The 19202-nt window shown below is 32.2% G+C and overlaps 1 long non-coding RNA gene across 6 annotated transcripts in view; it reads right to left on the bottom strand.

Moving 5' to 3' along the window:
* The window catches only part of LOC105376050 (uncharacterized), a 108520-nt gene extending 89818 nt beyond the window's left edge, over window positions 1-18702 (bottom strand). For 5 of the 6 annotated variants that reach the window (XR_929617.4, XR_929618.4, XR_001746434.2 and 2 more), the window contains exon 1: window positions 13612-18702. This is a non-coding gene — a long non-coding RNA (uncharacterized LOC105376050). The remainder of the gene's footprint in view (window positions 1-13611) is intronic. The other variant, XR_001746435.2, reaches the window with a different exon arrangement.
* Between the last annotated feature and the right edge of the window lie 500 nt (window positions 18703-19202).

The raw sequence follows: 19202 nt of genomic DNA, 5'->3' as shown, positions 1-19202 counted from the left end.
GCTGGGGTATATCTTTATCAGTAGCATAAAAATGGATGAATACAGGAATATAGGAAGTGTCTGCTTTTTCCTGGCTTTTATCTTTGCCTGTAACATTCCACCCCAGAGACTCACATGGCTTCTCCTTTCTCTTCAAGTCTTGCTAATCATTCCTTGTTGATTCCTTAAAATCAACACATATAAATGTGTATCCCTTTCTTAAGCAAGAGATCCCTTTCATCCTTTACCTTTCTGTATTTGTTAGTAGAATTAACCATCTGCTAGTATACTATAAAATTTACTTATGTATTATATATATTATCTATTCTAGTGATATAATTTGGCTCCATTCCCACACAAAATCTCATCTTGAATTATAATCAGATTTATAATCCCCATGTGTTGGGGGAGGGATCTCCGGGAGGTGATTAGATCATGGGGTGGTTCTCCCATGTTGTTCTCGTGATAGTGAGTGAGTTCTCATGAGATTTGGTGGTTTTATAAAAAGCTTTTACCCCCTTCACTCTGCACTTTTCCTTCCTGCCACAATGTGCAGAAGGACATGGTTTGCTTCCCCTTCTGGCATGATTGTAAGTTTTCTGAGGCTTCCCCAGACCTGCAGAATTCTGAGTCAATTAAGCCTCTTTCCTTTATATATTAACCAGCATCTAGCAGCTCTTTATAGCAGTGTGAGAACGGACCAATACAACAAGTGAACAGGTATTTTTGCTTATTGTCCATTGTCAAAACCACTTATTTATTTTTACATTGACTATTGTCTATCTTCTATGGTTTGTTACCTCCAACAATAAGGTAATCAAGGGTCAAAATTTTTTGTTTATTCAGTAAAATGCTCTCAGTGAATTGGGCATTGGGTGGCACAGAGTATTTAATGTATCTATTAATTTTGTATATAAATGAATAAATTTTCTAAATTTTGCTAATAATGTTAATAGAAGACCCAAAAAGTATAATCAGTAAATTAGTTGTATTTTGAAGAAAAAAAAGTTAATCTATGTAACAAATTATTGTAAAAATTCTCAGGATATACACTTGAGTAATAATCACTGTAACATTTACCTATTTAAAAAGAATGAAATTTAACAGTGAAGGCACCTGAGTCTGGAATTTGTTTCCCCTAAGAAGGTATTAAATTAAAATTCAGTATCTTTAATAAATCTAAAGATATGAAGAAATTTTATTTATTCTAGAGTAATTGTAAAGATTATTTTGCTAACCATACAATTTATTCAACCATTATCAAATTTATTGGCATAAAGTTTTTATAATTTAAGTTATTATCATTTAGATATTTGTAGTATCTTTACAACACCCACCATCTTCCCAACCTTGCCCACTTTATTTCCTGAAAGTGCTTGCTGACAGATTTCTGTCTTTGTATCTTTCTCAGACTATCTAGAATTTAATTCAGTTTATTCCTTTTATCAAAGAATCCGTTTTAAATTTCATCTTTTCCTTTTGTATTTCTGTTATGTCTTTATAAAATTTTAGTTTTTCTCTATATTTTACTTTCTACTTCTTGTTTAATTTGGTTTTCTTTTCACTTTTTCAGGTAGACATTTGTGTCATTAATTTTAGACATTTCTCCTTTTTCTAATACAAACATTAAAAACTTCGTATTTCTCCAAAGGAATCCTGAAGTTGTAGTGTTTTTATTTTTATCCAGACCAAAATACTTTCTAATTTATCTTTTGATTTACTATTTGCTACAAGGCATCATTAGAAGTTTATTATATCTAAATATTTGGGGATTTCATTGTAGTTTTGGTTTTGTTTTTTATTTTAAATTTAATTCTATTGGGTCAGAGAACATACTCTCCATGATCTAATCCTGTTAAATTTGTTGAAACTTTATTATTTGTTACCTAACATGTGATGAATGTCAGTGCACTTGGAAAATAAAATAAGTTTTTGCTGGTGATGAATATAATATTCCATGCATCCTAGAACTTGTTAGGTTATAATGTCATTGAATTTGTAGATATTTTCTTTAAAATTTTTTATTTACTTGTTTAATAATATCAGAAAATAGTTTTCAAATCTTTAAATATATTGTGGATTTGTATATTTTTCTTCTCAATTCTGTAAGTTTTTGTCTTGAATATTTTAAATGCATAATTGTTTGTTAATGTGTGAAAAAACATTTTGCATTATCAGGTTCTCTTGATGAATTGGACCAATTATATTGATCTTTATCCTGCTAAAAATATTTCTTGATTTGTGGCCCATTTTGTCTGATATTAATAGAAGTCTTCAGTTTTTATATACTTAGTGTTTATACCATAGAAACACTGCCATCCTCTTACCTTAAAAGGGTCCAGAAATTTGAACTTTCATGTAAAATATTTTCAATATTAATTTATAATATTTTATAACATTACATAGTAATTTTGAAAAAATATTTGTTATTTATATAAAAAGCCTGCTGAGATTTGGACTGATATTGCAATTAATCTAGAAATCAATTTAGTAGAACTACCTTCTTAACACTATAAAGCATTCAAATTATTGAACTTGGTTTATCTGTCCATTTATTTAGGTCTGCCTTAATGTCTCTCAGCACTGTATTGCAGTTTTCTAAGTATCAAACAGAATGGTTCATAGTGGATATTTTTGCATTCTTTCTTATAGTAGGAGGAACCATTTGGTATTTCACTATATTAACTATTTTTATATATGTTTATTACTTTTGAAATAATTTGTTTCTCTTGCCTACTTTTCTGTAAGTCTTTATTATGAATATGTGTGAAATGTCATCAAATGCTTTTCTACTTTTAATAAAATAATCCTATACAAATTTTTTAAATCAAAATGTAGATCTGTAGTTTTCTGTTAATCTCTACCTATTTTTTTCCTTTAAGGGTAATCTGTACCTCATATAATGTACTGTTAGGGTTGCTTCCTCTTTTATTTCTGAAAGACTTTGCATAGAATTGTTACTATTTATTCTTTAAAGATTGTGAGAATACAAGAGTGAAACCTTCCTGACCTGGAATTATTTTGTATGTGAGTTTCAAATTATAGATTTAATGTATTTAATAGATGCAGGATTATTCATGGTGTCTCTTTATTTTTAAGTGAATTTTGTAACCTCTTTTCTCTCAAGTAATGTGTCCGTTTACCAAACTTTTAAAATGTATTTGCATAAAGTTTAAACATTGTGTGCTTACTATCATTTTATAACCTGTAGTATAATTAGTGACAGTCTTTCATTACTGGCTTTAGTATTTAGTATTTTTTCTCTTTTTTGTTGAGTATAGCTAGAATTTTTTCATTTTTTAATAAATGAGCTTTTTATTTTATTGATATTCCATTTTGGTGTTCTTTCAATTTTTATTGATTTTTGTTCTTATATGTATTTTATTATTTCTTTGTACCTTAGTACATTTTGACTGCAATAGAAAAATACCTTTTTGTTGTGGCTTATAAACAACATAATTTTATAATTTATAATAATATAAACTTATAACTTATAAATTTACTTCTCATAGATCTGGAGGCTGAGAGGTCTGAAATCAAGGCTCTCAAAGATTTGATGTCTGATGAGGGCCCATTTCCTGGTTCATAGATGGTTCCTTCTCTCTGCATCTTCACATAATGGAAAGAGCAAGGTAGCTCTCTGGGGTCTCTTATGTAAGAAAACTACTCATTTACTATCCTTAATGTAGTACTAATTTAGTACCCTTATAAAAGAGCCCCAGATCTCTACTTTCATGACCTAAGCCCCTCCCAAAAGACCCCATCTCCTAATAACATAAGTTTGGGAGTTAGGATTTCTACATAGGAAATTCGAGGAGACACAAACATTCAGACAACAGCATTCTGTTTTGTTTGGGTTTAATTTGCTTTAGGAACTGATTAGATTCTTTTTTCTTTTCTAACATAAACACATGGCACTATTACATTTATCTAATTCTTTATTTCTAAAAAATTTTTAATTATTATGGATACATAATAGTTGCACATATGTATGGGATACATATGCATACAAGCATATGACATACAATTATCAAATCAGGATTCTGATATTCATCACCTTAACTTGTATAGTTTCTTTGTGTTAATATTGTTTAGTTATCTTAATAAATTGACCCCTTTATAATCAGTGAGTATATTTTCTATCACTGGTCATATATTTCGTTCTGAAATATATTTAGTTTGACATTAATATAGTAACTCTAGTTTTCTATAAATTTTTGTTTGTACTACACACACAGATATCTATGTATTTATATTTACAGTAGAATTTTAGTAGACAGAATTAGATTTCTGATTTTTCATTGATGTGTATGAATGATTTACATGTAATGTAATGTGATTATGAATAAGCTTAGGTTTAAATATACCTTCTTGCTATGTTTTCTATTTATCTTATATGCTCCTTGTTCAATTTTTTATCCTTTTTTTACATTTTGTAGATTAGTTAAATATGTACTTCATTATTTTATGTTATTTCTACTATTGGTTTACTAATGTACTTTTTTTTAGGTTCTGCTTTAAGGTTTAAAATATAAATACTTCTGTTTTAAGGTTTAAAATATAAATACTTCTACTTTAAGTTTTAAAATATAAATACTTAACTCATCACAGCCTACTTTCAAATAACAGTATATCACTTGATATGCAGTATAATACATTGCCAGTTTTTTTCTGCAGACACACATATACTTCTCATAAAATTTTACTTCTGCCTTAGGACTCTTTCTTATAAATGACAATGGAGGGTGGCTGACAATGAAATTCTTTAGATTTTGCTCAGTGCTGAGACAACGTTGAGATGAGCAAATTACCTCTGGTGAAAAACTTAATGAGGAACTCTCTCGGGTCACACAAGGCACAAGTCTTGCACTCTCAATCTCAAATATATAACTCTGAAAGTGAGTAGCTCTTTAGGTTTTGGGACCTAGTTGTGTCATTTACTTTACCCTAGTTCCAAACCTATTTTTAATTTTCTAAAAATAAACGAGCCCTATTTTACTTTAGTGCTTAAAATTTTCTACTTGTTATAAAAATGTAGATAAAGCTGTTTTTTATTATTTAATTATTTATGATTGCTCCATTGTCTCCAAGTTTTCATAGTTTCTGAAGAAAATTGCCCGTATTTGTGTGTGTGTGTGTGTGTGTATTTCTTTTGATGTGGATTATTTTGTCATCTCTGATGCCTTTTAAGATTTTTCTCTTTATCACTGATTTTCAGAAATTAGACAATAGTTTACCTTGCCATTTTGTCTTTATTTGTGATTCTAATAACATTTTGGCAATCATTTCTTCGTATTTTTGGTTTTGTTCTTCCCTACCACATACTCACACACAGACATCCACTCAGTGTTCTTCTGGGACTCCATCTCTTCTTGTATTATGCTGCTTGATATTGTCCAACACAGTGTGGTTGTTTTTTCAAATGTGTCTATGTTTTCTGTTTTGGATAGTTTATATTGTTATGTTATCAAAATCACTGGTATTTTTTCTACAATGGTTAAAGTGCTGTTAAATTTATTCATACATTTTTAATCTAATATACTTATTTTTTCTGTTTTAGGAGTCTGCTTGTTTTTATTTCTTCCATTTTTATTTTCTCATAATATACATATTTTCCCATCTTATTTGAAAAAATAAAGCATATTTTTAACAACTGAATTAACATGTTTCAACACTAATTATTATGTTCATCAAAACCAGATATTGTGAATTCTATATTGTTATGTGATGGATTTTGTTGAATTCCTTTTGTATATTTGTATTTTGTTCTCAAACACAGTTAAATTATTTGGAATCAGTTTGATGCTTTTAGAGATTGCTATAAAATTTTCTTAGAGAAGATGTAGAGTTGCTTTAGGTTTAGGAATGAGTGAGTTCCATCACAAAAGCAGGATTCTTCCAAAGATTCTACCTAATAGCTCATATATTACCCTGTCTTCTACTTTGGTTTGTGGCAACAATAATATTTGCAGAGCTTTCTTGAGCTTTGAGAATTGTTCTTCAAACCCTTTGTGTTGGCATTTTACCCCAGGCTTCTGTTATTTTCTCTCATGTATTCACAGTTTAGTATTCAATGAAGGACTCAATAATTTCCTAGGAAGGTCTGCAGACACACGGTCATCTGTATTCATTAGCATGGGCTGCTATAACAAAATGCCATAGACTGAGAAGCTTATAAACCACAGAGATGTATTTCTCAGTCTAACCTCACATGGTGGAAGAGGGAGGGGTCTCTCTGGCACCTTTCATAAGGGCTCCACTCCCATGATCCAGTCACCTACCAAATTGCCCATTTTTTAATATTATCACCTTGGTGGTGAGAATTTTAATATACAAATTTGGGGAGGTCAATTAGACCAGAGCATAATTCTTGGCAGATAAAAGAAGCCATAAGAAAGCTGGTGTGATAAGACCAGAATGAGCCAGAGGGAAGTTTTAAGGTACAATAAAATATTAGGCTAGACTATTAAAGTACTTTGTCATTAGAAATTACATCTTTCAGATGAAATCTACCCAATCCTTGCTTGTACATCTTGCTAAAGTTTTAACTTTTCCATTGATTTCATTATATTTGTCATGTCTTTCCTATGAATTTAATTTTCAATTATCTTCACTTCTTATACATACTGCTATATATTATTTAATCATTCTGCCTTAAATTATTTTGTGTACAGTTATAATACTTCAGCCTAGTTTACTAGGAACTCATTACAGTTGTTCCCCTGTATTTGTGGGGTACTGGTTCTAGGAACCCTCAGACACAAAAATCTACAGATGCTCAAGACCCTTCCATAAAATGATGTATAATAGTATTTTATACACCTACATCCACACTGTCACATACTTTAAATCATCTCTAGATTTCTTATGATACCAAGTACAATGTAAATGTTATGTAGGTAGTTATAGTGTGTTCTTTAGGGGATAATGACAAGGCAGAATTCCATATGTGTTCACTTTTTCATAAATGTTTTTCCAAATATTTTTGATCCATGGGTGGTTGAATCCACACATGCAGAACCTATGGATATGGAGGGTCCACTGTACTTTTTTCTATCCTCCTAACTACATATTGGTTTCTATTTTTGTCTTTATTAAATCTTAAATTGTAGTCATACTACAAATTCAATCTTTTCTATTGTTTCATTTTTTTCTATTTCTTGAACAGTATTCTGTTTCTGTTTCAATGCATTAGTATCCACTTATTTATGTTTACCAAAATATTATACAGTCAAATAATTCAGGAAGACTTTGAAAATTTAAAGTCAACAGATTTGTATTAGCCTCAGTTATATCATCTGTAATAAATCAGATTATCCTGTCATTAGGATTAAATATTAAAATCTATTTAAGACATCTTAAAGAATATTTGAGATATTATGTATACTTAATATGGATATTTGTTTTCTTCCCTTCATTTTCTGACTTATTTTAGCCTTTTCATTTGTATTGTTTTATGTACCTTACAGTTACATAAACTCCTTAGTATCTGGAAACTTGTCTTCTTATTTTAATGTGCCATTCATCTCCTTAGCACAATTTCTTACACATATATGTTCTACAAATGTTTATTAAATGAATTAGTGTCAACTACATGCATGCTTTATTCATTAAGCTGTCAAAGGATTGATCTGCTTTACAGCTTTGTCAAACTATAGAACTTTAATTCTTTTGCCATACTTTAAAAATAATACATGTTTAGGTAATAATAAAATCAATATTCATACTCATAAAATAACAGATTGTAAAAGCATTGTAGGCTAACCACATACATTTTGGAAAAGAAACTGAAATTAATTCTTAAATTCTTTCAAATTCTTCATCTTATTTACTATTTTTGTAAAGTAAATGTTTATCTTGTATTTTAGTTTTAAGCTCTTAGAATCTTCAACAATATAGTTTTTTGTACATAAAATATTTAAATCAACTTAATCTATGTACATGTTATAAACTAAGTTCAAGTAAAATTACATAAAATGCAACAATGCATTTTATTTTTCTATTCATATTTTTCTAATAAATCTTGTAAGTTTAAGTAATTATTTTAGTTAACGCTATGAAATTCTACCTAGGCAGGTTAGGTGTTAATTTCCCAATTTGTATGCAAACTGAACAATTTTCTCTGCGCTCTTCATCATTTCATCTTTCCACTTAACTTTCTCTATTTTAACCAAATAATATTTATTGTATTTTGCCCCATTTAAACTAATGAATAAAAATTTCCCTCAGTGTAAACTCTATGTTGATGTTTCAAATAGAATATTTTATTCCCTGTGTGTTTTGAGTAGTAGCACCTTTAATGTTTTATCTATTTATATTTGTACAAGGCATATTACACATCTGAAATGAACACAGTACTAATTAGCATAAAGTCAATGTTAGCCTTAGACTTTACAGGTAAGTCTACAGAATACAGAAAGAAAAAATATAATGTCATATGTACTTCTTAAACAGTTGTATCAGTGGAAAAACTGATGATGCATTCATGTTTTCCTCAATATTTAGTGAGGAGAGCAAAAATGAGTAATAAGAAGGCAAGAAAAAATATCCACTGCATGACTGTAACAGGCACTAGATGATGAGGTCATAGAATGTATTCATCTTTATTTATTCAGAAATTAGCTCCATACCTAGCACATAAACACTCCCATCTCAGGTCTCAGTTCGCTTGTGCTTCTGTAACAAAATAGCTGAGACTGATAAGAACAGAAACTTGTTTCTCACAGTCCAGGAGGCTGAAAAGTTCAAAACCATGGTTCTGGCAGGTTTGGCACCAAGTGAGGTCCCAGTTTCTGCTTCTAAAATGGTAACTTGAATGCTGTGTCCTTACATTAGCTAGTTCCCTTCAGCCCTTTTGTAATGCACTAATCCCATCTATGAGTACAGAGTCGTCATGGCCTAATTACTCCTAAAGGCCTGACTTCTTAATACTATTGCATTGAGGATTAAGTTTCAAAATGGCTTTTAGAGGGGAGACAAACATTTAAGCTAAAGTATAATAATCCATATTTTTTGAATGAATGAACAAAAAGTCACTTGCATTTAAATGTGAAAAGGTAGATACTTTCGGTGTCAGTTATTTTCTGTACAATTGTGATTATTCCTCATAAAATTTCAGAGCAATCAGTTGGCTTTCAATTAAATTTACACATTAGTTATAAACATTTTAAATGTTAACTCTGTTTCTACCCTTCATGATATTTAATATGTATATTAATTTTACAAGAATTACTTAAATATTTTTCTTCCAATTTTCTAATTCTCTTTCCCTTGTTGAAATGAGCAAACACACAAAATATCAAGTGACAGATAATGCATTGCTAATGTCTTACTTTGGTAGGATATTTTCATTAGTATTTTAAATAGAACTGAGATTTTTATTTTTATATATTTTTTAACCAAACCTGACTCATATTATAGATGATCTAGAGTATTAATGTAATACAAAACCATTGTATTTCTTGGCACAAAGAAAAAGCGTGGGTCATGTCAAACACCTGCAATGACAGTAAAATCATGTCACAAATAAGCTAATTATGTTGAAAAATGATTATGCACACACTATGTAAAGCATTGTCCTTTTCCTTTGTTGGAGGGCATTTATTCATAGACATCATGTATACTTTCTTCCCAAAGGGTAAGGTTGACCTAGAACCCTATGGATGACCCTTTATAGTTAAGCTTGCCAACTACTTGTCAGAAATGATTAGTGAGAAATGTAGGAAAGAAAATTTCCCCTGTTGATGACAGGGGGCAAATAGAAGATGCCCTGAAGTTGTCATAAGGAATCACATTTTTTTCAATAAGAGTATTTTTTATTTGATAATATCTAATATCACAGATCAACCTTTATTTATACATATTCTAGACATGTGTTGAACTTGACAGGTTTTGGTAATAGAAAATTCTGTGGCAACTCACAAAAGAGTATGTGTGCATTGTAATCATTTTTATTATAAATAATAACTGTGTCTTTTTTTGATAAAATGAAGATATAATAAATCATGATTTCCCCTCAATCATATCTTTTAGAAACTGAGTTTATGTGTCTTTGGATTTATAATAATCCCAAACTCACATTTTATGTTAAAATACTCATTAAAATGCAATAATTTATTACAACTTTATTTTGGATTATATTCTGAATGTCTTACAACATGAAAGCTAAAGAGTGCTATACATTTTTTGAAACAGATTTATGTAAGCCTCACAGTCTGTATTATGAAATTATTAATGTTAGAGTAACATTTTGATCTACTAGATTCATAAAATTAATGAGAATTCTTCAGCTATTATTTTGAATCCTCTCCTTATATCTCTTAATAATACAGATAACACAGATTTGAGCTACAGGAAAATGTAATATGCATTGTGTTTGAACAAAGTGTGTTATAATTTTGGATGTACATCAACCTATACTGTATCCCTATGTTGTGTAAGACTGAATATCCTAGATCATATTGGATTATTACAGTCAATAATATTTTACATTAAACATCAAAAAATAATATGGCATTCATTTACAACCCAGAAAAATGAGTAACTCCCAGGAGAAATTTAGTTTTCATTGCTCCTTATGCTAACAACTTTAAAGTTCAAATGCTAACTTTCTATCTCCATTTTATTTAGAATGTATAATAAATCTTTCATGAAAAAAGATGAATTTCTTTTTTTTTTTTTTTTTTTTTTTTTGAGATGGAGTGTCTCTCTGTCGCCCAGGCTGGAGTCCTGTGGCGCGATCTCGGCTCACTGCAAGCTCCACCTTGTGGGTTCACACCATTCTCCTGCCTCAGCCTCCCGAGTAGCTGGGACTACAGGCACCGGACACCACGCCCGGCTAATTTTTTTTGTATTTTTAGTAGAGGCGGGGTTTCACCGTGTTAGCCAGGATAGTCTCAATTTCCTGACCTCGTGATCTGCCCGCCTTGGCCTCCCAAAGTGCTGGGATTACAGGCGTGAGCCACCACGCCCGGCCTCTATTTTTGAAAGTTACCTTTTGTCATTTTTTTATCTGCAGTAGTGTGGATTAGAAACCTGGCTCAGTCCTACCACTAAAATAATTCTTAAAAGTTGGATGAAACATTAAAAAAATCTTGCTTTAGTGTCACAATGATCAGGCAAGAAGACAATAATTTTATGAAAATTAAGGTTTTACCTTGAGAGCATTCTCTGGTCTTGATAAGGATGAGGCCATGTTTCTTGGGACTGTAAAAAGCAGGGGACCAGAGACAAAGTTCAAAGTCCAGCCAAATTGGAAGTGTAGTAAGAGAACACTCTTACACTATTGGTGGGAGTGTAAATTAGTTCAACCATTGTGGAAGACAGTATGGTGATTCCTCAAGGATCTAGAACTAGAAATACCATTTGAGCCAGCAATCTTATTACTGGGTATATACTCAAAGGATTATAAATTATTCTACTCTAAAGACACAGGCACACGTATGTTTATTGCAGCACTATTTACAATAGCAAAGACTTGGAACCAACCCAAATGTCCATCAATGATAGACTGGATAAAGAAAATGTGGCACATATACACCATGGAATACTATGCAGCCATAAAAAAGGATGAGTTTGTGTCCTTTGCAGGGACATGGATGAAGCTGGAAGCCATCCCTCTCAGCAGACTAACACAGGAAAACCAAACACCACATGTTTTCATAAGTGGGAGTTGAACAATGAGAACACATGGTCATAGGGAGGGGATCATCAGGGAGGGGATCATCAGGGAGGGGCTGTAGGGGGCGGGGGCCTAGGGGAAGGATAACATTAGGAGAAATACCTAATGTAGGTGACGAGTTGAAGGGTGAAGCAAACCACCATGGCACATGTATACCTATGTAACAAAACTGCAGGTTCTGCACATGGACACAGGGAGAGGAACATTACACACCGGGACCTGTTGGGGGTGGAGGGCAAGGGGAGGGAGAGCATTAAGACAAATACCTGCATGTGGGGCTTAAAACCTAGATGACGGGTTGATAGGTGCAGCAAACAACCATGGCACATGTATACCTATGTAACAAACCTGTACGTTCTGCACATGTATTCCAGGACGTAAAGTGAAATATAAAAAAAAAAAAAGAATGCCCTTTTCTGGGGTTCTCACTAATATGACCTGTGTAACTTGAAAATCCTCAAGACAGAAATTTAAAGTGATCTCATTCTGTTTATAACCCTGGGCCCTTGGTACAAACAAATTTATATAATCCTTTTGGGAAACCTATTTCAATTCTATCCTAAAATTATTTGCATAAATATACTTCTATTAGTTAGGAATTGACAGTAAAACAAAACAAAACACACAGAGAAAGATGGTGCATGAAAAGAATATAGGAGGAAAACAGGGAGATAAAAGAATCACATGAAGAAAGACTCCAGATACTGGAATTATAAGAATGTATAACAAACAAGTTTGAATTAAGTAAGAATTAAAATGAATGATTTAAAAGTTTAATTCAAACAACGGTAAACACACAACTGACACATTCATAATATGTTAGAGATAGCTAAAGTGAGAATAACCACATAACGTAAAACATAGTTAAATTCACTTTGACTATTAAGAGATGTATAAAAATGAACAATAAAGAGAAAGGATTCAGTGATATGAAAGACAGAATGAAAATGACTATCATATATTAAACTGGAGTCTAATATATTCATTAGTGAGATTTACTGACATCCCTAATGAAAGACATCAAATTCTCAGATTCAGGAGAAATAAGACATTACACTCAAGATACATAAGATGAATCATTCCTCGGCACACCTAAGTTTTCATCATAAACTGTACCTTCAATCATCTTCATTCTTCCTGACCTGATCTATTTTTCTCATCGTATTTACCACCTTCAAACATATGGTACACATCCTAGTTACTTTGGGTATCTTATATTACAATATAATCTCAAAACAGATTTTGTTGATTTTATTTACAAGATGTAACCAAAGGGCCTAGATTATCTTTATAGCATAGTATATGTTCAAAATTTATTACCAAATAAATATAAAGTACATTTATGAAAGGTGAAGGAGAATATAAAACAGAGGGAAGATCTTCAGAACTACCACAACAAAATGACACATAACTTAAATGTCAAAATACCAACACTGACTTCTTATCAACAGCAATAAAAAGTAGGAAAAAATTTGGAAAATATCCTCAATGAGTTTAGACACACTTCTATACATTAGAGGTTTATAAAACACAAAAACTCCTTTTATAAATGAGTCAAAATAATGACATTTTAGACAAAGAATAACAGAAAATTTATCATCCAAAAGCACCTTCCAAAGAAACGTCAAAAGACAAATTTCAAACAAAGGAAAATGATCACAGATAAAAGATTTGGGATAAAATAAATAATAATGAGAAAAATAGAATATATATGGGAGGTATAAAAAAGAAAATAAAATTTACTTCAATACAAAATTGAAATGTGTAAAGATGTTTTGGTGGGGGTCTCCATTGCTCTTCAGCTTTGATTATTTATTTAAAAAACTCTCAGAACTCAGAGAAGCAATTATACTCATGTTTACAGTTTATTAAAACAAAAGGATGCAGAGTCGTATCAACAAAGGAAAAAGATTCTCAGGGCAAAGTCCAGGAGACTCCAGGCACAAACTTACAAGTGTCCATCACAGCAGAATCACATGCAGATACACTTCAGTCTCCCAGTAAAGCTGCATACAACCACATGTGAATTCTTGGCAATTAGAGCAGCTTATTTATTCTTTGATGTCCCAGGTTTTTATTGGTGGTTAATCACATAGGCATGCAATGCCCAAGTGGCAAAACTTGGCAAATTCAGCTTCCTTTCCATGATCCCTCTAGAACAAAACCAGGCATTCAGCATAAATCATATCTTAGAATAAACGTATCTGGTTAAATTGATACCACATGGTTCAAATAAATACAGCATGGCTCAGGGCCTCAGGCATATAAGTCAGTCATTCACCATAAACCCAAGGCCTCAGATATACAAAAACACTCTTCACGGTAAGACTATTTCCAGAACTCAGAGGCTAGCTAGTCCTAAAAACAAACCTTACCTTTGAATGTGCAGGGTTGAAAAAACCCTGGGCTGCTGAGTTAACACATTCTTGCCTAATCCATATTTATTGTCCCTGGTCTAATCTCTCCTGTAGCAAAACAATCATATTTTTCTGAGCATCTACATTGAATATGGCATTTATATGACAGTAACAACAGTAATATTAACATGAATATGCCTAGCATTTTATGGACACAGTGTAGGGTAAAGATTGATTTTTAAAAATTACTAATGCATCCTACAAGCCCATTACATACACTTTAATATTTTGTACAAACAAAATTATTCATTCCTCCTCTCAATCTGCTTTTATTTTTACTTTTTGATAAATCTGTGCAGAACTATTTAGCATTGAAATTAGATAATGGTTAGCTGAATTCTGTTTTCTCAGGCCATTTATTATTCACCCAGATTACATTCTGAAGAGGCTTTAACTCAATATCTTAATACATTTGATTATCAATATAAGCATTATATAACTTCTCTACATAAGATAGTTGAATCTTACCAACAATGCTAGTGTAATGTCATATTGCAGTATGATCATGTTACAATTCAGTTTTATTACAGAAAAAGTTATTACGAATGATAGAGCTATTTGTTACAGCTACTCAACATAATTGGTTCTTGTCTTTATACCGTATAGTATTATAAATAAGTGTTATTACTACTCACCATGATTTGATTATTTCTGGGTTTCTAATGGGTTGTGGACTTAGCCAGTCACCCTGTCTTAGTTCACAGGCCCTAATTGACAATGGTCTCTACTATATGCTGTCTTACACCAGGATACACTCCCTTCCTATAGACAAGACACAAGAATAAGAATAGTTTATATCTCTGCTACCTGTACTACAGGATGTCTTATCCTTATCTATTCTTGGGGCAATGGCAATAACAATGAATTAATATAAATTATGAGTGACCTCAGAGATGGGGTCCCTAAGATTATATAAATGTGTCCTTCTGCATCTAAGAAGAACCATTACCCTATGGTTATTTAGGCCTCCATCTGTGTTAAAGTGATAAAGTGATGCTATTGAGTCATAATACAAACTCATTACCAGTGTTGGGTCCTAGCATTATCCATCATTAATTGTTGAGTCTACCTTACCAAGTTCACTAAAACTTCATTACTTTTTCCAGGTTGAATCCCATCCCTTCCTCTCTCATAGGTGAGAATTCCCTCTAATCTATTTATTTTAGTTAATAAATCTTCTTTCCTTAAAAGCCATTCATGATTAAAAATGAATTCAGCTTTTCTCACAATGCCTAGATCAGCATCTATCTCCCTGAAGGTTTTTTTCTGTTTGTAGGCCAATGCTTAACCCAAGAGGGTTGTTGTCATTGTATACTAGATTTAACTGGAATGAGGAACCATGTTTTACACTCCAGACTGTTTGGTTCTCAGTATGAGGATAAAAATAAGAAAAAACAAAACAACAAACAAACAACAACAAAAAACAAGAGTTCTCTACAATTTTCGAGAAACAGAAGAGGAAGAAATGCTTCTCAATTCATTTTATGAAGCAAGCATGACACTTAAACAGAAGAAGACAAAGATGATAAAAAAAAAGAAAAGGAAAACAAACAAACAAAACTTTAGACCAACATAACCTAGATGCAAATCTACAAATATACCCTAGATGCAAAATCCTCGACAACTTGAATACGACACTATGTAAAAAAGTGACACATGACCAAGCCATGTTTATTCCAGAAATGCAAGACAGTTGCAATATTTTAAAAAATCTAATAATATAGTTCATCATATTAATATTCTAAAATAGGAGAATGCATGATCAGTTCAATAAATGCAGGGGAAAAAGACACTATTCAACAGTTACTTGTGATAAAAATTCAGCAAACCAGAAATAGCAGAAAATTCCTTCATCTTGATAAAGAGCATACAAAAAATCCATCATATTTAGCTGTGAAACACTGAATGTTTTCCACATGTATGCTCAGGAATAAAGCAAAGATGTTTGCTTTTATCACTCTTTTTCAACATAATACTTAGAGTTCTATCCAGTGTGTAAGGAAAAAAAGGAAGAATAAAATAAATGCAGACTGGAAAGAAATAAGTAAAACTGTTCCTATTTGTAAATAATATGATTACATATGTAGAAATTTATACAGCATTTAGGAGAGAGAAGGAATGTAGAAAAGGGAGAGGAAGGGGGAGGCAAAAACAAAGGGGAAGGAGAAAGTAAAAGAACAGTGGAAGGAGAAGCAGTGTCTCCTAAAATTAAGAAGGATTTAGCAAGATTAGGACAAAAGGTAAAAACAGGTTTCCTGATATTTTTAATTGCATTTCAATAGCTTTCCAAACATAAATATTTCTCAGGTAGTTGAATGCTTTGGTCAATTTCGAGAATGATGGAAGGCTGCTTTAATGAATTTCTAGTGGCCTTTTGTGCAGAGGATTTGCTGGTCTTTTCAAGTGACCATAGTCCACATTGATGGGTTGATTGAATATGGAAACCATCTTGAACTCCCAAGATAAACGCCAATTAGTAATGATATATTTTACAAACACACGTGCATGCACACACACACACACACAGACATGAGAGGATTTAATTGGATAATATTTTGCTGAAGTTTTTGAAATCTAAATTCATCATCAAAATACATATTTGTCTACAGGACATTTTCTTGTAATGTCTGTTTTATGGTTTTGGTATGGGGATAACGGTAGACTCATAAAACATGTTGAAAAGTGTTTCCTCTTATTATTTTGAAATACGTCCCATCAATACCTAATTTATTGAGAGTTTTTAGCATGAAGGGTTGTTGAATTTTGTCAAAGGCTTTTTCTGCATCTATTGAGATAATCATGTGGTTTTTGTCTTTGGCTCTGTTTATATGCTGGATTACATTTATTGCTTTGTGTATATTGAACCAGCCTTGCATCCCAGGGATGAAGCCCACTTGATCATGGTGAATAAGCTTTCTGATGTGCTGCTGGATTCGTTTTGCCAGTATTTTATTGAGGATTTTTGCATCAATGTTCATCAAGGATATTGGTCTAAAATTCTCTTTTTTTGTTGGGTCTCTGCCCAGCTTTGGTATCAGAATGATGCTGGCCTCATAAAAAGAGTTAGGGAGGATTCCCTCTTTTTCTATTGATTGGAATAGTTTCAGAAGGAATGGTACCAGTTCCTCCTTGTACCAAATGCTCATCATCACTGGCCATCAGAGAAATGCAAATCAAAACCACAATGAGATACCATCTCACACCAGTTAGAATGGCGATCATTAAAAAGTCAGGAAACAACAGGTGCTGGAGAGGATGTGGAGAAATAGGAACACTTTTACACTGTTGGTGGGACTGTAAACTAGTTCAACCATTGTGGAAGTCAGTGTGGCGATTCCTCAGGGATCTAGAACTGGAAATGCCATTTGACCCAGCCATCCCATTACTGGGTATATACCCAAAGGACTATAAATCATGCTGCTATAAAGACACATGCACATGTATGTTTATTGCGGCATTATTCACAATAGCAAAGACTTGGAACCAACCCAAATGTCCAACAATGATAGACTGGATTAAGAAAATGTGACACATATACACCATGGAATACTATGCAGCCATAAAAAATGATGAGTTCATGTCCTTTGTAGGAACATGGATGAAATTAGAAATCATCATTCTCAGTAAACTATCGCAAGAACAAAAAACCAAACACCGCATATTCTCACTCATAGGTGGGAATTGAACAATGAGATCACATGGACACAGGAAGGGGAATATCACACTCTGGGGACTGTTGTGGGGTGGGGGGAGTGGGGAGGGATAGCATTGGGAGATAAACCTAATTCTAGATGACGAGTTAGTGGGTGCAGCGCACCAGCATGGCACATGTATACATATGTAACTAACCTGCACAATGTGCACATGTACCCTAAAACTTAAAGTATAATAAAAAAAAAAGTACAAAGCAACCTCTTATTAAAAAAAAAAAGAAAAGTGTTTCCTCTTTTTTATTTCTTAAACTTTTGTGTAATGTATAAATTATATCTCCTTAAATATTAGTAAAATTTGTCAGTTCGTTTATCTAGGTGGGTATTAATAAATTTAAAACAGATATATAGGGATGTGCATTTTATTGCTTTCTTTTTGAGTTTGCCTTAGTTTGTATCTTTTGAGGGATTTATACACTTAATCTAAATTAACTAATTTACATTTATAAATTTCATCATGGTATTCATTTAGTTATCCTTAAACTGTTGTAGGACAATGGAAATGTTACTTCTATCATTCTTTTTTTGTTGTTTATTTGTTTTGAGACAGAGTCCCGTTCTGTCGCCCGGGCTTGAGTGCAGTGGCCTCATCTCTACTCACTGCAAATTCCACCTCCCAGCTTCAAGCAATTCTTGTGCCTCAGCCTCCCGAGTAGCTGGGAATACAGGCATGCGCCATCACGCTCAGCTAATTTTTGTATTTTTAGTAGAGACAGGGCTTCACTATGTTGGCCAGGCTGGTCTGGAACTCCTGACCTCAAACGATCCGCCTGCCTCGGCCTCCCAAAGTGCTGGGATCACAGGCATGAGCCACCAACCCCAGCCACTTCTGTCATTCTTAAAATTTGTAAATTATTTATTTCCTATTATTTTCTCCATAGTCTGGCCAGAGATTTAACAATTTTATTGATCCCTTCAAAGATCTAAATTTAGTTTAATTTACTTAGCTATATAATTTTTCTCCATTTAATGTTGTTTATTTCTTCATTAACCTTTATTATTTTCTTCTTTCTGATTGCTTCAGAATTAATTTGTTCTCATTTTTATAATAACAAGTTGGAAGCTTTCATCATAATTTCAAGGTAATTTTTCTTTTCTAATGCAAGCTCTTAATGGGATAGATTTTTCCCTAAACACAGAAATTTCCACATTTTGATATGTTATACTTTTTCAAATTTCTCTTACTTTTGGTTAGGTTCATGTTTAAATATACATATGTGCAAGAATATTTTCCCTTGATTTATATGGATTTAGAGGTTAAAAAAAGGCAAAAAAAATATTTTGGAAATTTCTAGGAGACTTAGTTCACCATAATTGTTACATAATTGTGCATATGTTGCAAGTAATGTATTGAGAAAAGTATTTATATCTGTATACATGTTTGGTCCTTAATGATGAAATTAATGCACAGTTGTC

This window comes from Homo sapiens, chromosome 9 (assembly GCF_000001405.40).
Source record: "Homo sapiens chromosome 9, GRCh38.p14 Primary Assembly".
NCBI lineage: Eukaryota > Metazoa > Chordata > Mammalia > Primates > Hominidae > Homo > Homo sapiens.
The sequence above is the reverse complement of the archived record's forward strand: the minus strand, read 5'-3'. Positions and strand labels throughout refer to the sequence as shown.